Genomic DNA, 26,076 nt, shown 5'->3' with positions numbered 1-26,076 from the left:
TTCAAAAAACTTCAAAGAACAATGAAGTGATATCATTAAAATCCTGACAAGGACAAAGAATCCTGTAAACAAACACTTCCAATTATACTAATCAGCATAGTGTGGTATTTGTAAAGTATGGACACAAAAATCAATGAAACAGGATAGCACCCAGAAATAAACCTATACACATATGGTCAGTTGATTTTCTACAAACTTCAAAGGTAATTTAATGGACAAAGAGGAATTTTATCAACAAATGCTGCTGAAGCAATTGGATATTCATGTGAATAAAAAAAAAAACCTTAATCTATTCTTTTCATTTTAGGCAAAAATTAACTTAAAATGGATTAAGCCTTAAATGCATAACATAAATTAGGAAATTCTTAAAATTTCTAGAAGAAAAATAGTGAAAAACTCTTGGTGGTAGGCAAATGTTTCTTAGGTATAGGTATGATAAAAAAGCATGATTCATTAAATAATTACGTTGTATGTCATAAAATTTAAAAATTTCTGCTCTTCTTAAAATAAAGGCATTTAAGGAAAGGAAAAACAACATCCGCAAACTGGAAGTAAATACATGTGAAACACTTAGACAAAAGATTTGTATCTAGAATATATAACACCAACGACAACAGCAAACTCAGTTTAAAAATGGACAAGAGTTGAACAGAGATTTCACAAAATAGGATGTATGAATAGCAAATAACCATATTAAAAAACATGAGTTTTCATTTTACTTTAAAAATACCTAAAAGTGGATTGTTGTATGCCATAGTAAGTTATGTCTAACTTTATAAGAAACCACTAAACTATTATCTGGAATAGCTTTATAATTTTGCATTTCTACCAAGAATGTATTAGATTTCCAGTTACTTCACATTCTTGACAACCCTTGCCAAGCTATGGTCTGTTAAGTTTACAAAACAAGCTATATATTAATATCTATAGTAGCTTGGTAAAGGGCAATTATTGAGACAACTCTAATATACCTAAGCTAAGTAAAGATTAAACACACTGTAACACATGTGTACCATGGACTACTACTAAGCAATTTTGAAAGGACAAATTTCTGACATGTTCAACAACATGGAGAATTCTCAAATTATTTATGCTAAGTGAAAAAAGACCTACCCAGAAGGCTACATACTCTGTGATTCCATTTGTATGGCTTTCTAGAAAAGGGAAAGCAATAAGAACAGGAACCAGATCAGTTACTGCCCAGGGCTAGACTGTTAGAAAGAAAGCGACCATCACAGCATATTCTCACTCGCAGGTGGGAACTGAACAATGAGAACACATGGACACAGGAAGGGGAACATCACATTCCGGGGGGAGGGGGAAGGGATAGCTTTAGGAGATATATCTAATGCTAAATGACAAGTTAATGGGTGCAGCACACCAGCATGGCACATGTAAACATATGTAACTAACCTGCACATTGTGCACATGTACCCTAAAACTTAAAGTATAATAATAATAAAATAAAATAAAGTGATCAAAACAAAACAAAAACAAACAAAAATAACACACACACAAAAAACCCCACAATAAACAAAAATCCAACCAAACAAAAAGGCACCAAGAAACTTCAAGAATTGATCTAACTGTTCTATATCGTGATTGTAGTGGTTTCACACACTTTATGTGTTTGTCAAAACTCACTGAATTGTATTAAAAACAGCAAATATCATTGTTGGAAAATGCTTCAATAGACCTGAACTAATAGATAAATAGAAGGAAATAAAAGAAAACATCATAGGGCACCAAGTAAAAACAAGGTTCATATATATAATATAGATGGTGGTCTTGGTTGTAAAATGGTGAAACATCTTCATAGTCAGAATAAATAGGCTTGAAAACTTTCTTGTGTCAACTGGTTCATCACAAATATCATTTAAAAGTATCTTTTATGGCTGGGTGCAGTGGCTCAAACCTAAAATCCCACTTTGGGAGGCTAAGGCAAAAGACCAGCCTGGGCAATGCAGTGAGACATTGTCTCTACAAACAACAACAGAAGGAGAAGGAGAAGTAGAAGAGAAAAGAAAAGAAAAGAAAAAAATAGCCAGGCATGGTGGCACATGCCTGTAGTCTCAGCTACTCAGGAGGCTAGGGGAGAAGATCTCTTGAACCTAGGAGGTTGAGGCTGCAGTGAGACCTAATAGCACCACTGCACTCCAGTCTGAGTGACAGACCAAGACCCTGTATCAAAGAAATAAAATAAAAATCAAATGAAGGCAGGGCGCAGTGGCTCACGCCTGTAATCCCAACACTTTGGGAGACTGAGGTGGGGGCAGATCATGAGGTCAGGAGTTCGAGACCAGCCTGGCCAACACGGTGAAAGCCCATCTCTACTAAAAATACAAAAATTAGCTGGGCATGGTGGCACATGCCTGTAGTCTCAGCTACTCAGGAGGCTAGGGGAGAAGATCTCTTGAACCTAGGAGGTTGAGGCTGCAGTGAGACCTAATAGCACCACTGCACTCCAGTCTGAGTGACAGACCAAGACCCTGTATCAAAGAAATAAAATAAAAATCAAATGAAGGCAGGGCGCAGTGGCTCACGCCTGTAATCCCAACACTTTGGGAGACTGAGGTGGGGGCAGATCATGAGGTCAGGAGTTCGAGACCAGCCTGGCCAACACGGTGAAAGCCCATCTCTACTAAAAATACAAAAATTAGCTGGGCATGGTGGCACGTGCCAGTAATCCCAGCTACTGGGGAGGCTGAGGCAAGAGAATTGCTTGAACTCAGGAAGCAGAGGTTGCAATGCGCCGAGATCAAACCACTGCACTCAGCCTGGGCGACAGAGCAGGACTCTGTCTCAAAAAAAAAAAAAAATAATAATTGTAATAAAAATACTCTTTACCAAATAAATATAAAACAAAATATATTTCAATAAATCATTATTTCTGTTTTTGCTCCAAATACTATACCAACTTGCATTTTTAGACAAGAGATACACATAAACACATTCATTTACATATAATTCTTCTGTTGCCAAAGGCATGCATGGAAAAATATCCTATTTCAACATGTTTTTCTGAGTATTATCTGCAAGTCCATGAACCAGAAATTATCCCATGGAAAAAAAATACAAAAAAATTAAAAAATAAAGATGTAGTCTTAGTTATATAACCTTTTAAATTATAGCAATGCTTTGCATTTTGTCATATAATGACCTAAATGCATTCACAGTTTTTTCTATAAGTGTATATAATTTTTATATTGTTGTTTATATATATGGGAATGGTCAGAAATATTTTGGTTTACTTATTTCATGTTTATTGGCTTCATTTTTAGAAAAACTTTTTTTCTGCATAAATTCTGGATAAATGAAGCTATCTCATCTTTGATAAGCTATGTCAGCCATTTCTGCTGAAACCATCTGCATCTAATTTCTAAAGGAAAAACTGCATAGAAGCAATAAAATCAAACAAGGTGATAACCCAAAAATAATTCTTTCAGAATGATTAGAGATTTCCCCTCTTTTGCCATTTCCATTTTAACTTGATCATATGACCTTCTCTTTTGGTAATATAATAATTCAGAATTAATCTCTACAAGCTTTCATGAATAATTTAGTTAGTGATGGTAGAAAGGAATGCAATTAATTTCTGGGGTAAATTCCAGATCATCATAAAAACCTGGAAGGGGACCATTTGTATATTTAATTAATAAATGGTAACATGTACACAATTTTTTTCTACTCAAATTAGCACTGTGATACTGATAATTGCTCAATATGAAATTCTCACCAAGTGCAATTACAGGGAAATCCTCAGGATGAAAATTGAGTATAAGAAACACCAGCAATGTTTTTGAAGGAAGTCAATGGAAATAACATCAACCACAAATTAGGATGAGATATGTTTTCACACGGTTCTTATAGATCCTTTGTTGAAAATATCCAGAATCAAATATGTATTTACATACCTTGATACAATTAAATTCATTTTAATGAAGCCAATGAAGTACTACAAAATTTGTTCTGATTTTTTTTTTTTTTTTTTTTTTTGCTTTCTGGTGCATATTATTTTCAGGTACTAAGTTCTAAGAAATCAAGAGATAGGCTGTTTTGTTGCTTTTGTAATATTTTTGGTTTAACTTGTAACTCAGCACCATAATTTATAAGATGATGATATTAGTATATTTTATTTATTTTAACTTACATTATTGACTGGTCCATGTATATCCAAAACTGTGTGCATTTTAATGATGGTGTGTATATGTACTGTCAACTGGACTTGGGTGTCTCTGCCTGAAACTTCATCATTTTGGATCAATGAGCTGTATTCGACCCCTTTCCATTTCTTTTAGGACATTATTTTACTATTATTCCCTCCTAGATCTTCATATACTTGTCTCTATGACTTCATTCTCCTGATTTAAAAGATACCCAGTTATCTCATTATCAGCTACACATTCATCCTTTCAGAACTTTTCATGGAAACACACACACACACACACACACACATCCATTCTTCATTCATTCATTTAACAAATACTAATTAAGGATCTACTATGTATCGTGAACTGTCCTGAGTGCTGGAGTCACATTATAAAAAAAAAAGACAAACATCTCTGCCCAATGTATCTGTCCTTCCAGTTGATGGAAAGAGATAATAAAATTAATAAGTTAAAGATATTTTAATAGGTGATAAGTGTTTTCAAAAACCAAAAGTATGAGAGAAGTATAGAAATATTTGTGCATGAGAGAAAGGTGGTTTGCAATTTTAACTATGGTAACAAGCGTAGGGTCCATAAGAAAAGTGACATTTGTAAAAATATTTGAAGAAGGTCAAATAACCTTCTTCATATAACCTATTATATATAACCATATTAACCTATTAACCTCAAATAACCATTAGGGTAATTGAGGGCAGAACATTTTAGGAAGAGGGAACATTTTGGCCAGATTAGAGTGAATAAGAGGAAGTAGACAGGAAAGGAGGTTAGACAGGTCACAGAAATCTGGTGGGCATTTGCAAGCTATTATAAGGTATTTGTATTTTCTGAGGGTGGTAAAAAGTCAGTGAGGTATTTTGGACAGAGGAATGGCATGATGAGACAAGTTTTGAAGCGTCACTTTATATGCTACAGGAAACAGATTTCAGATGGGGAAGTGCAAAAGCACAGAGATACGTTAGGGAACACTTGTGCTAATGTAGGCAGGAGAAATATTGTCCTTGACCAAGGTGGTAACAGGAGTTGCAGAAAACTGGTCAGATTCTGGATACACTTTGAAGGTAGAGAAGACAGTATTGTATGTGGTGTATAAAAGAAATAAAAAAAAAAAGATGTCTTCAAAGTTTTAGGTGTGAACAGTTGGAAGCATTGAGTAGCCAGAAACCAGAAAAGGAAGAGGGGTATGGTGATTCTGTTGGTGGGAGGAATTCAGGAGTTCAGTTTTGGATATGTTATCTCCAAGTGGAGATATCATACAGGCAGCAGGGTGTGTGAATCCAGGTTTCAAAAAGAGAGTTTAAGTTTCGCAGACTTCAAATTTTTCCCCGCCTCTGGGTACCTCTTACACAAAGATGTTGACTTTTGATGGTATTCAAAGCCAAGAATAAGATAAGTTGACTGGGAAAGAGAGTGTAGATAGTAAAGAGTAGAAGACTAAGGTTTAAGAACTGGGGCACTTCCATATCATCTGGTCATGGAAGCAAGAAGTAAGCAAAGAAAACTTCATATATTACAATTTCTATCTAACTGAGTTTTCTCAGAAAGAAGATTCAGGCAGAAGAAGCTTACTAGAAAGATAAAGGAAATAATGGTGGTAAAGTGGGAAAGTAATACAGGGAAAACAGAGTAACCAATAATTATGCTATTTAATTACCTGCCATAAATCCGGAAATCTTTTAAAATATTTGACTCATAATTATCCCACGTCAAAAATGCACCTTGAATTCTGTGCAGTAAAAGTAAATCCACATCTATACATTTGATAATGAAGCTGAAATAATCAAGAGCAAATACAATCTTAAAAGCTTTCAGATAACTAAAAGACAGGGATAATGATTAGATTAGTGTCAGACACTTACACTGAAAAGTATATGAAGATAACAGAAGACAGAGTATCTTCAAAATAGTGAAGAAAAGTTATGCTGCTTGAAATTTTATATCCAGCAAAATATCATACAAGATTGTGAGTGAAATATAGTTTTTATACAAATATGAGAAAACGGTTTATAAGTAAACACCTACTGAAAAAAACTATTAATGGAAAGGCATCAGCTTTAAAACAGAAAAACCCAGAAGAATTTATGGCATATTTAAAACAACAATGACCACAGCCAAAAATTTAGAAAATGGTTAAAATTTAAAAAGAAATTTATTAATATGGAGAAAACAATAAAACAAAATGATAAACTGTCACCCTGACAAGATTGTAGTTGTTCTCACTGCACAGATAAAGCCTGAAGTCACATCATCATAGGAAAAGGAGAGACGTGTTGGTGCTTTATATTGATCATGTTTTATATGGTGTATGTTAAACATGTTCTTAATTTTAAAGAAAGATAATGCACTTTTCAGATTTCAGATGTTTCTTTAGGTGCCTATTTGTTTTTTCTTTTTACAAGTTTAGCTACAAATTTATATTTTTTAAGGTAATTGTCACAATATTTTATGTACTTTTTGTAGGATATTCATAATATATAGAATACAATGTTAAAAAAGTTTGCTTTTGACATTTTTCAAACCTGAGCACCCAATATTATACATTAATATTTTATTATCCATGACAATTTAGATGTACTAATACGTTTGCTAATTTCTTTCTTTATCAATGCATCTAGTTTTCCTGCCCATTTTAATTTATTTTTAATGCATCTATTAAAACATGTATCCTGTGTGTAGGGTTAGGTTGTCTGGGTCTATCTCTCTAGCTTGATTTATGCTTTTGAGGACAATTGCTTGCCTAAGATCCAGAAAAGTTTCTAGCACTTGGCAAAAAAATCTATCAAATATATATATTATTTTTAATTAATATATAATAATTGTACATATTTATGGGATACATATAGGTGTTTCTATACAAATAATGTATAGTAATCAGATCAGTGTGATTAGTACACCCATCATCTCAAACATTTATCATTTCTTTGTGCTGGGGAACATTCCATATCCTCATTCTTGCTATGTGAAACCATATAATATATTACTGTTAACTACAGTCACCCTACAGTGGGATAGAACACTATAGTTTATTCCTCCACTCTAATTCTGAGTACATCTTCATGACTTTTTTACTAAAATTTTGTGCAGTACTTTGAATATATTACTTCATGGCTTTTTGGCATCTTTTCTTATTAATGATATGTTTGTAGTTAGTCTCAACTTTATTTCCCTTAAATGAATGTCTTTTATTTGTGGTAGCTGTTTAAATTTTGTCTTTAATTTTCTCAGGTTTATTATGATTTGTTATTGTTTTTTTTGTATCAGCGGTGAATGCCTTATTATTAGTTTTGCTTAGGACACAATATGTTCCTTCAGTCTGGGAGTACTTTTTCTTTCAACACTTAATAATATTCATACATACCAATTTGTTTTAAATATTCATGGTTCACCACTCTCTATTCTTCAAATCTTGTTTTATTCCTTTTTGTCTTCCATTTATAACACTTCCACTGTTTCATATTTTTAATTTTTTTCTGTTTCTGACTAGTACTATTTTTCCCCAACTTTAATTTCAAGGGGTACATGTGCAGGTTTGATATATGGGTAAATTGTGTGTCACTGAGGTTGGGGCTAAGAATGATCCTGTCACCCAGGTAGTAAGCATAGCATCCAGCAGTTAGCTGTTCAACCCTTCCTCCCCCATCTAGTAGTCCCCAGTGTCTATTGTTGCCATCCTTATGTCCGAGTACCCATAGTTCAGCTCCCACTTATAAGTGATAACATGTGATATTTGATTTATATTTATTATAAGTGATAACATGTGATATTGTGTACCTGCGTTAATCAACTTAGGATAATAGCCTACAGCTGCATCCATGCTGCTGCAAGGGACATGATTTCATTCCTTTTTATCATATTTTCCTGTATTTTTTATTTCTGTCCTGCTTTTTGGTGACTTCCTCAGATCTATATTCCAATTTACCATTTCTAGTCTTAGTTGTACCTGATCAACTCTTGGTCAAATCCACTGAAGGTTTTAATGTATTTTTTCTAACATATTTTAATTTTAGAAATGTTATTTTGATGTATTGAATGGTTTTTATATTTGGCTGAAGGGTATTCATGTTTGCTCTACTTTCTCTTCTCTCTCTTAATATATAACATGATTTCAATATACAGACATGTCATGTCTAACATTCTGTTTCAAACTGTTGTATGATTTTCTGACTGGCTAATTCTGCTATTTTTATCTTTTTCTTTTTTCCTCAGTGAGAATGAATTTCTGCAGTTTCTTAAATCTTTCTGTCAGAAATCACGACCACAAACACTCCAGAGTCACATCTTTATGATATTTTGGAAAAAGCAGACTGAGTCTGGAATTTTTTTATAGCCAATTCTAAAATTCAGGGAAGGAATTCTCATGACCCGGCTTGTAGATGCTCACTCCTGCGTCACCCATCACTGCATAGGGTTTTGGGTGTTAGGAAAGCAGTTGCTCAAAATTTTCCCTTCTTTAAGGATGCACCATCCAACAGAGGTTTCAATCAAAGCAAATATCACCGGGGGAGGGTGCCCAGGTTCTAGGCATCTTGAACAAAGAAATGGACAAAACGCACAAACTAAGCAAGGAAGGAATGAAGGGTTTTATTGAAAAGGAAAGTACACTCCACAGTGCGAGAGTGGGCCTGAGCATAGAAACTCAAGCCCCGTTACTGAATTTTTAGGACTCCATTAGATACTTTGGGTACGTCCTATGTTAATGAAGAGGATGAAGTAAAGTACAAAGTCATTTATGGCGTACACCCTTTGGAGAGGATATTTCCTGTTATAGCTGATGTGTGAATCGGCCTTATGTTCCCTCCCTCCAGACCCGATTTTCTTGCCTCACAAAGATATCGGAAGTTTTACGTTATTTTGAAATGAGTAGTTTGGGGTACTGATACCATATAACAATCACTCTGAGTTAGACTGTGAGAAGTAAATTGAACGTTTTTCATTGTAAATCTAAATGATTTTAATAAGAACATATGTGTAACTGAAAGACACTGTAGGCTTTTGAACAAGAGAAGAAGCTTGTGGAGGCGTAAAGTCCAGATTCAGGGCACATTCTATCTCTATTTCATTCAAGAGCTTAATGATGTCACCCATGACCAAGATTCTTATCTCTGTGATCTGCCTTAAGAAATGTGTCAGCTTTGTTCTCAGGCTGATTTCTATCAAGGTTCCAGGATGACTGCAAAAGTTACTTACTTCATATCCATATATAAAAACATCAGAGTAAAAAGGAAACTGTCTTTTAAGCAGATTTCATATATATGATTTCATTCTCTGCAGTATTTTCCAGAATCTTATAGATGGCATTGAATGGATTTGAACTTGAGAAAACAATTATATTGATATATCACCTACTAAACAACTGATGCATTATTGAAATATAAAAATGAGCTCAGTAATATATCAATCAACAACAGATGCACACATTGCCAAATAAATCGTTGAGCTTAATCGTTAGTGTGTGTGACGGAAACTTGAAAAGACATTTGCCTCAGCTAATGTCTGCCTTGCTACCACTTAATCATCAAAACATTAATCTTAAAATGTAGTGAATGTAGAGGATTAGCAGGGAGAAAAATGGTGAAAACTGAGAAATATAGAAAACACTCCACTGATGGCTATGATTATGCTCATGGCAAGTCTGCTTTTGGTACACTATGTTCTAGTCACCTTTGAATATTTTTATGATGTATATAGGCAGCTGATTCACCAAAGTAATTAATCATGCAATGACTATATTTGTGTGTCCAATTATAGTCTTTATGGTTGATTACTTTTTGCAAAAAATACCATTACTAGTTCTATTTTACTCCTTCTGCCCTGGGCAACAAGGCCAGGACATCAATGGAAGAGACAAATATAAGCAATGTACAGATGAAATAATTTTTCTAAAGCAAGATGTTAAGGATATATTAATTTTCAGTGTCAGAAATATTACCTTGTTTAGCGAAGCTAAAAGCATATAAACATTCTCTAAATGTACTACTTCATTGCAATATCATCAGCTCTTTACCAGCACATTTTATTATTAATATAAAGAATTCAATAATGATTTTTAAAAAGCCTCTTTCCTTTTTCTCAAATGACTGATGAATCCCCACAGAAATACTTTCAATATTTATAGCCAAAAATCTTTCATACAGGCAATATCATTTTTCTTAGCTTCATCTCTCAGTAAAACATATCATCAAACTTCTAAAAACATGTGTCTCTTAAAAATGCTGGGAATATAATTTGTCCTAATCCTGAGAAGGAAACCCAAGCTTGTCCTTCTTTAGGAGTCACTCTTTATTCGTTTGGAATAGAGTTCCTTAGATTTATTTGACAAATGTTTATTGAGACCTGCCAAGTCCTAGTCACAGTTACTGGAGATGGGACAATTCAGTAAGGAAAGGAGGCCAACATCTCTGACACTGTGGAGCTTATATTTTTTGCATAATAAATACCTGTGACACCTAATAATATATACTTTAATAAATGGCAGTAAGAATTTTGAACAGAAATAAATCAAAAGATGTCTGGACATGTGCAAAAGGTTGAAATTATAAACAGTGTGTTAAGAGAATATGGCCAGGCGTGGTGGCTCATCCCAGTAATCTCACTGCTTTGGGAGGCTGAAGTGGAAGGATCACTTGAGCCCAGAAGTTTGAGATCAGTTTAAGCAACATAGCAAGATCTCATCTCTACAAATAGTTTGTTTTTTAAAAATCAGCCAGGCGTGGTGGTGTGTGCCTGAAGTACTAGCTAATTGGGAGGCTGAGGTGGGAGGATTGCTTGAGCTCAGGAATTCAAGGCTGCAGTGAGCTGCATTCACACCACTGCACTGCAGCATGGGTGACAGAGTGAGACCCTGTCTCTTTAAAAAAAAAAAAAAAAAAAAGAAAGAAAAAAGAAAGAAAGAAAGAGAATACTTAACTGAGAAAAGTTACATTTTAGCAAATCTCTGCTGGCCTGTATAACCAGTATGGTTTCAGCCTGTTAAAAGAACTTTGATACAGAATTCATGCCAACAGTGGACCTAGAACACTGTCCCTCAGTTATGGAATTTTTGAATTGGTTTTGATACATTCCTGCCGAACATCTTGCTTATAGAAAATGGGATAGTAATAATCTATGGTGTACACTGCCATCATAATTAATCAAGTTATTATCTGTGGTTTATGATAGTAATATGACAATTAAAGTTAGTTGCTGGCAGTTCAGATTATTAAACTGTAAGTTTGAATCGTGATCTAAGAACCAGATATCTTCCACGGTAGGACTGCAGTAATCCTTCCTTCCTTCCTTCCTTTCCTTCCTTCCTTCCCTCCCTCCCTCCCTCCCTTCCTCTCCTCTTTTCTTTTTTTCTTTCTTTTCTTCTTTCTTTCTTTTCCTTTTTTCTTTCTTCTTTTTCTTCCCCCTCTTTTTCTCCTTCCTTCCTATTTCTTTCTTTCTTTCCTCTTTTTCTTCCTTCTTTTCTTTTTTTCTTCCCCTCTCCTTCTTTTCTCCTTCCTTCCTTTCTTTCTCTTTCTCTTGTCTTTCTTTCCTTCCTTCCCTCCCTCCCTCTCTCCCTCCATCTTTCTTTTCTTTCCTTTTTTGTTGAGACAGGGTATTGCTTTGTCACCCAGGCTGGAGTGCAGTGGCATGAAAATGGCTCACTATAGCCTTGATATCCTGGGCTCAAGTGATCCTCCCACCTCAGCTTCCTGAGCAGCTGGGACCACAGGCTTGCACCACCATGGTCAGCTAACTTTTTGTGTGTTTTATGTAGAGATACGTTCTCACTATGTTGCCCAGGATGGTCTCTTCTGAGCTCAAGCAATCCACCTGCCTTGGCATCCCAATGTATTGGGATTACTGGTGTGAGCTAATTAGTCGTGCCTGGCTAATCTCTCATTTCCTACAGCCATAGAGCCAAGATTATTAATTATCAAACATAAAATTAATTGTGGTGGTTACAGAATTAGAATGTTGATTTAACTTATAATATTGTCCAGTTTCTCATATGAAATTTAGAGTTTTGATTGGAAAGGAATGAGACCTTGAAAACTGAAATAAAAGCTTTAACAGGACTCCACTGAAACTGAGACTCAGTCACTCTGAGCCTCTCTTGACAGTGGAAGTAGCAGGTCATCTGTGTCTAAGGAGACTGGTCTTACTTTCCTGAAAACTCATTGATAACCTCATCAGGGCATATGTTTTGTAGAGGGATACTTATTTTTCTCAAACTCACCACTATCACCTCCTCTTTGCACCAGACTCATAGCTAAAATCAAATATCAGCATGATCCTGGAGGCCAGGTACACACTATGATCCAAGAGGAAATAGCTTACACACAAAATATTTCAAGATTTTGCAAATATATGTCAACAGACACCTTGAGAACAGGTATGAGGGTGGATTCCAAGGGTGTTAGACCAAGGAGATTAGAATTAAACAATTAGAATGTGCACTTACTAAAGATTCTGAATTTAGTCTGTTAGCTCATGCAGCTTTAAGTAGCTCCAGCAAATACCTGCTTGGTTAACTGAAACTTATATTTAAAGGTGGCCTACATTTAATGTGGTTGGTACTAAAGACTTTTCCTGACAGAAATTGGATTTGGAGGAAATGATCATAAGTCTTCAGGAGATAGAAAGGTTGGAATGTATTTAGTTTCTGCAACTTACACATCAACCTCAATCACATCTCAAAAGAAGGCCAAGAAAATACTCCCTCCAGTAAACTGATGAGATACATATTAGTGACGGAAGCATGGACATTACTTAAAAACCCAGTGGTTGTTCTGATTTGTGAGTCAGGTATGACTGTGGAAGATGCTACAACTGAGATGGGTTCCTTGATTTCAATGGGATGACTGGATCTTGAGGTCACAGAAGCCAAATGACAGCCACTTAACCACAAGAGGGGATCACTTACCATAAATAGCATGAGGGTCATACTAGTAATCAGAATATCCGGGACTTTGGGGATCTCTGGAGCAGGCTAACTGTTCATATTGTCCTCAGGAAGGAAAAGGATGATTATCATGCCGCAATAGTGCCTGATCTATGTAAGTGGTGGAACGGGAGGGAAGACTAAATGTAGTAGTCAAGTCCCAACATAAGTTTTCATAATAGAGAACTATACTGTCTAACCCACTTTTCAGACCTGAGTCACTTAATAGACTTAGAGCCTTTGATTAAAATGGAAGCAAGGGAGTTATTTCATTCTTTTTTTTTTTTAATTATACTTTAAGTTTTAGGGTACATGTGCACAATGTGCAGGTTAGTTACATATGTATACATGTGACATGCTGGTGCACTGCACCCACTAACTCGTCATCTAGCATTAGGTATATCTCCCAATGCTATCCCTCCCCCCTCACCCCACCCCACAACAGTCCCCAGAGTGTGATGTTCCCCTTCCTGTGTCCATGTGTTCTCATTGTTCAATTCCCACCTATGAGTGAGAACATGCGGTGTTTGGTTTTTTGTTCTTACGATAGTTTACTGAGAATGATGATTTCCAATTTCATCCATGTCCCTACAAAGGACATGAACTCATCATTTTTATGGCTGCATAGTATTCCATGGTGTATATGTGCCACATTTTCTTAACCAGTCTATCATTGATGGACATTTGGGTTGGTTCCAAGTCTTTGCTATTGTGAATAGTGCTGCAATAAACATACATGTGCATGTGTCTTTATAGCAGCATGATTTATAGTCCTTTGGGTATATACCCAGTAATGGGATGGCTGGGTCAAATGGTATTTCTAGTTCTAGATCCCTGAGGAATCGCCACACTGACTTCCACAATGGTTGAACTAGTTTACAGTCCCACCAACAGTGTAAAAGTGTTCCTATTTCTCCACATCCTCTCCAGCACCTGTTGTTTCCTGACTTCTTAATGATTGCCATTCTAACTGGTGTGAGATGATATCTCGTCGTGGTTTTGATTTACATTTCTCTGATGGCCAGTGATGGTGAGCATTTTTTCATGAGTTTTTTGGCTGCATAAATGTCTTCTTTTGAGAAGTGTCTGTTCATGTCCTTTGCCCACTTTTTGATGGGGTTGTTTGTTTTTTTCTTATAAATTTGTTTGAGTTCATTGTAGATTCTGGATATTAGCCCTTTGTCAGATGAGTAGGCTGCAAAAAATTTTTCCCATTTTGTGGGTTGCCTGTTCACTCTGATGGTAGTTTCTTTTGCTGTGCAGAAGCTCTTTAGTTTAATTAGATCCCATTTGTCAATTTTGGCTTTTGTTGCCATTGCTTTTGGTGTTTTAGACATGAAGTCCTTGCCCATGCCTATGTCCTGAATGGTCATGCCTAGGTTTTCTTCTAGGGTTTTTATGGTTTTAGGTCTAACGTTTAAGTCTTGAATCCATCTTGAATTGATTTTTGTATAAGGTGTAAGGAAGGGATCCAGTTTCAGCTTTCTACATATGGCTAGCCAGTTTTCCCAGCACCATTTATTAAATAGGGAATCCTTTCCCCATTGCTTGTTTTTCTCAGGTTTTAAAAGAATCTGTCCAGGACTTCTAATTTTAGCTATCCTATAATAAGAGCTTAGAAATCTGGTTTTCCTTACAACTAGAAAAAACTGGTCAAATGAAAACCAATTTTTCTTAGATTTATCAGAGCACTGATGTCACTGGACACACTAATACCCCTGAATCTGAAGAAACAGGCAAATACAGAGAGTTACAGCTGAGACCACCTTACTCGAAGCTAAAGCTTCCAGAGGCAAAGCTAGCAAAAACACTTAAGTGGCAGTTTTACTGGAGGTTGAATGTAGACCAGCTTGAGACTGAAAGACTCCTGGGAGCCTAGTCTTAGCAGGGTCCTGACACATGCATAGACATTACTTCCAGGATCCCCAACCAGATTCTCATTGTAACGATCTGAGAAAAATACTCTTGTGTTTCTGGCAGGATGAGAGACACAGTCACCATTTCAAAATGTGTCCAGCACGTTTTCCATAACAAAGACCTAACCTCCAAGGGAATGAACTGTACCAGAGCCTTTTCCTACCTGGGGAAACTGTGATTAGGCAGCTCCCATCCATCTCAGCATCCTGAATTAGATAACAGGAAACAAATAAAGGATAAGAATGAATTCTGAAGGTTACAGTCCAGGAGCTCAGCCCACTAAAGAACTTAAACGTAATCATAAAATTATGGAACACTTCCTCTCCTCCACAAATTACCACCACATCTACAGGGGTCCACGGCCAGGACAGTGGGTGACAACTTAAAGAGCTGCCAGCTCACATTCCATTTAAGAAGGAGTTATTTAGGGAACCATAAAGGAAGAGAGGAGAAATAAACAAGGACTATTGAGGAAAGACACTTTTTCTGGCACCGAAAACTACAGCAAATGTTAAACACATATCTGTTTCTAGCCGGATAACAAAAAGCTTCATACTAAAGGCCTATTTACATCACTTCCAATTACCTTATATATCTTGTGTGGTTTTCAACAGAAAAGTACAAGAAATGTTAAAAGGCAGGAAAAAAACACAGCCTAAAGAGAAAAAGCAATCATCAGACCCAGAATCTGATATGACACAGAATGGAATTATCAGCCATGGAATATAAATAACTGTGATTAATATGTTAAGGGCTCTAATAGAAACATGCAGATGAACATCATGCAAGAACAGATGTGTAATGTAATCACAGACATGAAACTCTAAAAAAGAATCAAAGCAATGCTGGAAATCAAAAGCACTGGAAAAGAAATGAATAAATTATTTGATAGGCTCATCAGTAAACTGGATATGGCCAAGAAAAGAATCTGAAGTTCAACATAACTCAATTAAAACTTCCTAAACTAATATGAAAATTTTATTTTAAAAAAAGAAAAGAATATGCCAGAACAGTGGGACAATTACTAAAGGTATAATTGTGTGTAATGGGAATATCAGAAGGAGAAACAAAAGAGAAAGGAACAGAATAAATATTTGAAGTAGTCGTGACTGAGAATTTTCTAAAATTAAACGAAGACACCAAACCACTGAACCAGGAGCGCAGAGAAACAGGTTAAACTCATAGAAACAGGATAAACATCAGGAATTCTGCAGAGAGTTATGCCATATTTAAACTATAGAAAGCCAAAGACAGTGAGATAATCTTGAAAGAAGACAGAAAAAAAAAATACACACTTTATCAATCGAGGAATAAGGATAAGAATTTCATTAGACTTCACATCAGAAACCATGTAAAAAGAAAAAACTATTTAAAGCATTGAAATATAAACAAAACACTAAGCTAGAAATCTATGTCTAGCAAAATTATCCTTCAAAATCAGAAGAATCAAGACATCTTCACACAAAGAAAAATTAAGGACAAAAGTTACCAGCAGACATGTTCCATAAGAAAAATTAAAATAATTCTTTGGAGAAATTGAAAATGATATAGGTCAGAATTCTAATCTACCTAAAATGAAAGGGCATAAGAGAAGGAATAAAGGTAAAATAAAATATTTTATTTTCCTTATTTTTGGTTTAAATAAAGGCTAACATTTTCTTTAAGTTAATAATAATAATAATGTACTGGATGTGACAGTCATGTTATAAGGAACTAAAGAGAGGACTTGGGAATACTCTTAAAAGGTATACTGCATGGGGAGCAGTATAGTGCTATTTGAAATTGGACTTAAATTAGTTGTAAATATATATTGCAAACTCCGGGTAACTACTAGCCAAAAATAAAATATAACTGTTATGCTAAGAAAGGAGAGAGAATTATAGGAAGTGCTCAATTAAAACCAGAAAAGTCAGAAAAAAGAGTGGGAGATTCAAAACAAATAACAAGTGAAATTAATCTGAAACAGTTACAAACATGAAGGATATTAATACAGTATATATCAATGATCTCTTTATATGTGAATGGTACAAATACACCAATTAAAAGACAGTGACAGAGTGCATTTCAAAAAGTAAGATGCAAAACCCACTCTATGTTGGCTATAAGAAATCCATAAATACAAAGAAATGTTGCAAACAAAGGGGCAAAAATGATATACCATGCTAATATAATTGAAAAAATGGTGAAATAGCCATATTACCATTTTAGACAAAAAAGGTTTTAAAACAAGGAAAATTACTAAAAGTAAAGAGGTATATCACATAACAATAAGGAGGTCAATTTTCCATGAGACATAACAATCCCTAACATGTATTCATAAAACAATGGCATGTCAATAATGTGAGGGATAAGTGAATATATCTGGGAAGATAAATATTTAAATTCCCTATTAGAGTTGGCAACTTCAACTCAACTGTATTGTTAATGGACAGATCATGCAATAAGAAAATAAGTGAAGATATAGCTGAAGGCCAGGGGCGGTGGCTCACGTCTGTAATCCCAGCACTTTGGGAGGCTGAGGCGGGTGGATCACCTGAGGTCAAAAGTTTGAGACCAGCCTGGCCAACATGGTGAGACCTTGTCTCTACTAAAAATACAAAAATTAACCAGGTGTAGTGGTGGGTGCCTGTAATCCCAGCTACTCAGGGGGCTGAGGCAGGAGAATCGCTTGAACCCAGAAGTGGAGGTTGCGGTGAGCTGAGATCATGCCACTACACTCTAGCCTGGGTGACAGAGTGAGACTCCGTCTCAAAAAAAAAAAAAAAAAAGATATAGCTGAAGGAAATATCACCATCAATCTGCTTGATCTAATTGATACTTATAGAATACCTCATCCATTCAACACCATTGACAGCACACACTCACGCACACACACACATGCACACACAGGAAACCATGAAAACCTTAGGTGTAAATCTAAAAAGTATGTACAAATCTATTTGTAGAAAACTGTAAAACACTGATGAAATAATTTAAACTATCAAAACAATGTGATATTTCATATTCACAGGTAGGAAGACTCAATATTACTCAAATGTGAATATGTACATTTAAACATAATGCATAGATTCACTAAGGTGCCAATCAAATTAAAATAACAAGGGATTATTTCAAACCTTTTAAATAGGCAAATATTTAAACATCTAATAATACCAGGTGTGGATGAGTAGTGGGAATTCTTAAGTGCTATTCGTAGAAATGTATCGTGGAATGACAATTTAGAGAACAATTTGACAATATTCAATGAAGTTAAAGCTGTATTCAACTTATGACTCACTAATTCCACTGCTAGGCATCTACCCCCAAATAATTCTCAAATATAAAGTAAAAAAAGCAAAACAAACCAGGGAGCCAAGAAAGATGAAGGCACAAGGCCCTGGAAATAATGCAACTAATTGAAGAATACGATATAAAAAATTACATCTCTTCTACCAACTTAGAAAAAAACATGGCAGTTCCAAGCCATTGCTAGAAAATTGTAAGAAAATTAAAAAGCAGTAACAAGAAATCAACTATGAAACCATGAAAAAGGTACACTGCTAAGCAAAAGAAGTCTGAAAGGCTACATAGCACACGACTGCAATTAAATGACATTCTGGAAAAGGCAAAACTGTCGAGAAAAGAAAAAGATCAGTGGTTACCAAAGAGTTTTGGGGATTGAGAAGAAATGAACGGGTTAACCACAGGGGGTTTCAGGTGGTAAAATGGTTCTGTACGTTGTTTTAACAGTGAATACATGACATTATACATTTGTCAGATGCTTTGGAACTTCACAGCATAAAAAGTGAATATTTGTGTGTGTGTGTGTGTGTACACTATATATAGTTACTTTTTTCCAAAGTATACTGAGTAGAATAAGAAAAAAAGGGACACTTTGCACTGAAGCTTGATAAAAGCACCTCAGTCCAGTGATAAAGGACACTATTGTTAAATTATCTTGACGTATGTACCCTAGGTATGAGTGGTGAAATGGCACTTTATTTCTGTGAACTTCCTCCCATATTGTCAGTCTAGTCATGAAAAAACATCAAAAAATAAAAACAAAAACAAAAATCAACAGAGGCAACACAGTGGCATTCTATAATACCCCTAACCAGTACTGCCTTAAATTGCTGGTGTCATAAAATACAAGGAAATCTAAGAAACTAAGTTAAAGACACATGACAATTAAATGTACTGTGGTATCTTGGATGTGATAGTGGAACAGAAAAAAGATATTGGGGATAAAACTAAGGAAATTTGAGTGTGCACTGTGGCTCATGCCTGTAATACCAGCACTTTCGTAGGCTGAGGCTGGTGGATAACTGAAGGTCAGGAGTTTAAGACCAATCTGGCCAACATGGTGAAACCCCATCTCTACTAAAAATACAAAAATTAGTCAGGTGTGGTGGCACATGCCTGAAATCCCAGCTGTTCAGTAGGCAGAGGTAGGAGAATTGCTTGAACCCTAAAGACGGAGGTTGCAGTGAGCCAACATCACACCACTGCACTCCAGCCTGGGTGACAGAGTGAGACTCCATCTCAAAAAAAAAAAAAAAAAAATGCCAAAACTAAAAAAGAAGGAAATTTGAACTCCAAACTCTAGTTAATAATAATGTTTCCATATTGGCTTATTAGCTATAACAAGTTAACCAGATCAGTTAAGATGTTAATAGGGGAAATTGTGCGAGGTATATGAGAATTCTAAAGTGTAATTTTTCTGTAAATTTAAAACTTCAAAAGCAGTTTATTAAAATTTAAAAGGGAAGCCAGGTCCATACAAAGAAAGACCTGACAGCCTTGCCACAGCATAGATCATGAATCTTCCTTTAAGGAACTAGGGCCCATTTACTAGAGTGAATGCGCAATGGGAAGAAAGATATCAAGACCTTTCAAAGATTAGTAGATGCTGGCTCTGAACTGACACTAATTCCTGAATGTCAAAAATGCCAGTGTGGTTCACTAGGCAAAGTGTGTACTTTTGGTGTCAGGTGATAGACGGAGTCTGAGTCAAAATTCAACTCACGTGGGGCCAGGTAGGGACTCACTCTGTGGTTATTTCCTCATTTCCTGAATGTATCATTGAAGTTATATTAATTGGAATATTCGGCAATTTTCAGAATATCCACATTGACTCTCTGACCCATGGAGAAATGGCCAATATGGTGGAAATGATGAAGTAGAAACCCCTGGAATTTCCCCACTTTAGCAATGTCAGAAACCAGAAACACAATTTCATTCCTGCAGAACTACAGAAATTAGTATCATTCCTAATTATGTATTAGTGCCATCACTAATCATATATAGGAAATGCTCAATGATTTGGATGAAATGACCAAGAGGTGATATGTGAAACTTCTCAAAATTGTAAGATGCTGGGGTTCAGTGGACAGCAAACCCTACAAAAGATGGGAAAAGTGCTGAAAGGTACTAACATGGAACTTGATGGGTTCAGAGATAGACTTGGAACAAATGCATTGTAAAGGTACAAACCACAAAATGTGACTGGAGAGATTTTTTCAGGGATTAATTAGCCTTTACCTAAATGCATATTTGAAATAGCTGATATGCGTGAAAAGAGTGTACTGCGGTTTTCTTTCCTTAGGGGTTATCTGCTAAGCCCACTCTTATCCAGTTTTAATTGTCCCTGTTAAATGGGAAATTTTGGAGTTGCATGAACCTTCCTTGCTAGTAAAGACTAAGCAGTATAGTATTCCCAAAGGCAGCAAAAGATTACCGCTTTAAGAAAACGGCTGAGGTAAGAGTCTGGATTCCCACTATTCTTGTTCAGCATTTTGATCTGACCAGTATATAAGGCAGACAATTCCTAGAGTTTAACAATGGGATGTGAAGAACTAACCAAGGTGGTCCCTCCAATTGCTATGCTTATGTCTGATGTGATGAGAACCATACAAAAACGCTACAGGCCCAGGAGGCTGGTGTGCCATTATAGACTGGGCTAATGCCTTCTTCTCCCATTCCCTTTCACTCAGAAAGTGAATACTCAAGCAACAAAATTGAAAAAAAAAAAATGGTAAAGTTCATATCTGATAGAAATGTTATACAGATTTTATAAAGAAATATTACAACTCAATAATAAAAGAGAAAGCAAGCCAATAGAGAGTGGGAAGCACACTGAAAGAAACACCTTCCAAATGAAGATATATGGATGTGCATAGAAAAGTTCTAAACATCATTTGTCATACGAAAATATAAATTAAAGTCCCAGTGAAATACAATGACACACACAGCGAAATGGCTATAGTTAAAACAAACAATATTAAATATTACAGAAGATGTGGAATAATTGGAGGGCTCATATATTGCTGCTTGAATTTCAAAAGTGTTTAAACCCTTTGGAAAAAAATTGTGGCCATTTCTTGAATAATTGCAAGTACAGCAATATACAATTCAACAATTTCCACTCCTACATATTTCCTCATAGATAAATTAAAACATATATGTATATTCACATGTATTAGTTTGGTAAAGCTGCCATAACAATGTATCACAGACTGCATGGTCTAAATAACAGAAGTGTATTTACTCACAGTTCTGTGGGATAGAAGTCCAGGACCCAGGTGTCAGCAGGGTTGGTTTCTTCTGAGGCCTCTTTCCTTAGCTTGTACAGTGTCATCTTCTCCTTGTGTCTTCAAGCGATCTTTCCTCTGAGTGTGCCTAGGTCCTCATCTCCTCTTTGTAAGGATACCGGTCATACTGAATTAGAGCCCACCTCAAGGACCTCATTTTGTTAGTGGTGGAAGAGACCGGAGTTACCAGGAGTTACCAGTAGCAAATCCGCACAGGTCGGCCGCAACTTTAAATCTTGCCTCCTCAGAAGAAACAACTAGACTGAGGGGCATAAAGCAGAACAAGAGACCTAGGCACATTTTAGAGCAGGAGTGGAAGTTTACTTAAAAGGCCTTAGAACAGGAAAGAAAGGAAAGTTCACTTAGAAGAGATCCAAGAGGGCTCATGAAGATTAAAGAAGGTAAAAAGCCCCGTTTAACCGTGATGCTATGACCTTTATAGCCTCTTTCCCTTGATTGGATTCTTGCAGTGGCGTGATCTCGGGGCTCACTGCAAGCTCCGCCTCCCGGGCTCACGCCATTCTCCTGCCTCAGCCTCCGGCGTAGCTGGGACTACAGGCGCCCGCCAACACACCCGGCTAATTTTTTTGTGTGTGTTTTTTTTTTAGTAGAGACGGGGTTTCACCGTGTTAACCAGGATGGTCTCTATCTCCTGACCTCGTGATCCGCCCGCCTCGGCCTCACAAAGTGCTGGGATTACAGGCATGAGCCACCGCGCCCGGCCAGAGCCCTTCTTACCCTTGGGAAGTGAGCTCATGTAGTGTGTTCAGTAAATTGTACGCATGCTTATCTGAGGCTTTCTTCCTTTTTCAGGTAGAGGATACGCCGAAGATCACACTCCGCTATTTTTGTCTGTTAATGTGCACGCCCAGGAAATTTCTTCTCCATGAGGTCTGCCTCTAATTAACAGTTTTTAACGTTAACAGGTGTGGACCATCACTGAATGGCCTCTCCCTAGCACCGGCTGCCAATGTATCACTTTTAGAGAGGCAATGCAACAATTACTGAACCATCACTCAAGACTTCTAGTGGGTGGCGGGGAGAGCCCTCTCCTGCCCGCTCACGCCTAACTACCTGTAACAATTTAACCTTACTTGATTAAAGACATTATCTTCAAATACAGTCACATCCCGAGATACTGAGGATCAGTTCTTCCCCATGTGAATTATAGGAGAATTCAAGCCATAGCAACACATACTAGACTTATGTAAAAAAGTTCATACAGACTTTTTTTTTTTTTTTTTTTTGAGATGGAGTCTCACTCTGTCACCAAGGCTGGAGTGCAATGGCATGATCTCAGGTCACTGCAACCTCAGCCTCCCGGGTTCGAACGATTCTTCTGCCTCAGCCTCCCCAGTAGCTGAGGCTACAGGCGCCCATCACCACGCCCGGCTAATTTTTGTATTTTTAGTAGAGACGGGGTTTCACTGCGTTGGCCAGGCTGGTCTCGAACTCCTGACTGCGGGTGATCTGCCTGCCTCAGCCTCCCAAAGTGCTGGGATTACAGGTGTGAGCCACCGCACCCAGCTGACTTTATTCTTAACCCAAGCTGGAAATGACCCAGTGTCCATCCAGGGGAGCAAACTGTGGAATATTCACACTACAGATGAGTACTCAGCAACAATGAGAAATAGATGACAGATTCTTTCAATGACGTGAAAGCACTTCATGGACGATGTCCTAGACAAAGAATTCAGACAAGAATATATAATGAATAATTCACACTTATGAAGATATAAAATAGGAAAAAATTACCTATGATTTAGAAAAAATCAGAAAAGCAGTTTCTTTTCAAGGAAATTACTGGCAAGAGGCATGAAAATATTCTCTGGGTTGGTCAAATACTGTATATCTGAAATAAGTGGTGGTTTATAAGGTTCACGCATTTGTCAAACCAGTAAAATTATTACATTTGCATATTTAATATCAATATTTTCTAAAACTTTTTCATTTTTTTTCTGGGGGGTTGGGGGGTCAGAGTCTCCCTCTGTCACCCAGGCTGGAGTGCAGTGGTACGATCTGGGCTCACTGCATCTCCGCCTCCCAGGTTCAAACAATTCTCCTGCCTCAGCCTCTTGAATAGCTGGGACTACAGGTGTGCACTACCACGCCCAGCTAATTTTTGTATTTTTAGTAGAGACGGGGTTTCACCATTTTGGCCAGGCTGGTCTCGAACTCCTGACTTTGTGATCTGCCTGCCTTGGCCTCCCAAAGTGCTGAGATTACAGGCATGAGCCACCACGCCTGGCCTTTTCTAAAATATTTTAAACATGCATCCATTATCCCATGCTAGAACTAATGCTTGGTTTTATCTATGCTGAGAAAACAGACTATGAGTCCAATCATCTTTGTAAATCATCACGGTAAACAAATACAAGGGAAACTATAGACCAGACAAGGACTATTGGCCTTTATTACAGATGCAAAGCTATGAAGTTAAAATGCACTTTTATTCATGATGATGTAAGAGAGAAGAAAATATCCTTGATGTGCTTCAGGTAAAATTTGGATCTATCTAAAAATTTTAAATTGATGATTTACTCAATAGCAAATTTAAAAGCACAAAATTCTCTGTACCTGAGTTGAAAATTTTGTGCTGACTGCATACACAAATGAAGACTCAAGAATGCAATCAAGTTATAGAATTATATAATTATAGAACTAAAAATAACTATCTGTTTATAGACATCACAATTGTGGCAATGCATTCCAAATTTTCATTACTTCTATTTATTTTTATAACATTGATATTATGGCCACCAATAATGAAAAAGTATGATATGTACATGCTATGGGCTACTCAACAATAAAAAAATAAGCTTCAAATACAAGCAATAACATGAAAGTAGCTCACAGACATTATCTGAACACAAAAAGTGCATACTATAAAGGAGCATGTAGGTTACAGAGATTAACATATAGGATTTATTTTAGTATACAATCCCTTTTCCTTTTCCATAATTTATGTAGTCAGATGAAGAAATATTGATCATAATGGAGAGAGATAAAATAGCATTACAGCTGGTAAAACAAGAACAAAAAATTTACAAAAATGACTAACAAATAAATGGCTGATTAACATGATTTTCATGTTTAACCTCACAAACTAAAAACCCAAAGGAAGCCAAGTGTAACCTCCACCTTTCACCTGCCATATTAGTAAGATATATATTTTTCTATACTCAAGGTCAAATAGTACATTTCTGAATAAATCTTAAGCAATATACTTAAAAAATTCTAAGTATATTTAAAATTTGAGCAAGCAATTTTGCTGCTGAGAATGTATTCTATAATTTTACTGAAGTTGTGAATAAATATGCACAAAAAGTGTTATGACAGTATTATTTTTATGGTAGAGAATAAAACAGATAAAATGTTTAATAATAACAAAATACTAAATAAATTATTCTGTATTCAGTTGATAGAATAACATGCACTGTTTATTAACAATCATTTTACTATATTAAAATGTTTGGAGTATGGTAGTAAGTGAAAAAAACATAAAACTAACGAAGTTCTTATTTAACCTCATATATTTCTGAGACCCAAATTGGCATAAATTGTTTTTATTTATTTTTATTTTATTTATTTTTCAGGAATTGGTGATATTTTTATTGGTGATCAGAAAATAATAAAAAAGTATTAAGAAACAAGCCAATATTTAAACATTATAGAAAACTGCATTATTATTCACTAGAATTATATAAGCAACAGGGAGATTATGCTAGTCATTCATACATCAATGCCGAGCACACACTAGGTACACAGAGCTAGTTATGATGCTGATGCTAGATGATGCAACTTATGGAAACAGAGTGAAATGAATAATCCACGTGTATCTGCCTCTTGTACAAGCATGAATGCCATAGAGCCTTGCTGAAAAATTAAGCCCAAGGTAATTTATAGATTGAATGCCATCCCCATCAAGCTACCAATGACTTTCTTCACAGAATTGGAAAAAACTACTTTAAAGTTCATATGGAACCAAAAAAGAGCCCCCATTGCCAAGTCAATCCTAAGCCAAAAGAACAAAGCTGGAGGCATCACACTACCTGACTTCAAACTATACTACAAGGCTACAGTAACCAAAACAGCATGGTACTGGTACCAAAACAGAGATATAGATCAATGGAACAGAACAGAGCCCTCAGAAATAATGCCACAGATCTACAACTATCTGATCTTTGACAAACCTGAGAAAATAAGCAACGGGGAAAGCATTCCCTATTTAATAAATGGTGCTGGGAAAACTGGCTAGCCATATGTAGAAAGCTGAAACTGGATCCCTTCCTTACATCTTATACAAAAATTAATTCAAGATGGATTCATGACTTAAATGTTAGACCTAAAACCATAAAAACCCTAGAAGAAAACCTAGGCATTACCATTCAGGACATAGGCATGGGCAAGGACTTCATGTCTGAAACACCAAAAGCAATGGCAACAAAAGCCAAAATTGACAAATGGGATCTAATTAAACTAAAGAGCTTCTGCACAGCAAAAGAAACTACCATCA

At 36.2% G+C, this 26,076-nt stretch overlaps 1 long non-coding RNA gene across 1 annotated transcript in view; it reads left to right on the top strand.

The window, feature by feature from the left end:
* The window catches only part of LOC124901765 (uncharacterized), a 28,654-nt gene extending 3,352 nt beyond the window's left edge, over positions 1-25,302 (top strand). The window contains exons 2-3 of the long non-coding RNA XR_007060575.1: positions 22,374-22,451; positions 25,157-25,302. This is a non-coding gene — a long non-coding RNA (uncharacterized LOC124901765). The remainder of the gene's footprint in view (positions 1-22,373; positions 22,452-25,156) is intronic.
* The last annotated feature ends 774 nt before the right edge of the window (positions 25,303-26,076 follow it).

This window comes from Homo sapiens, chromosome 7 (assembly GCF_000001405.40).
Source record: "Homo sapiens chromosome 7, GRCh38.p14 Primary Assembly".
NCBI lineage: Eukaryota > Metazoa > Chordata > Mammalia > Primates > Hominidae > Homo > Homo sapiens.
The sequence above is the reverse complement of the archived record's forward strand: the minus strand, read 5'-3'. Positions and strand labels throughout refer to the sequence as shown.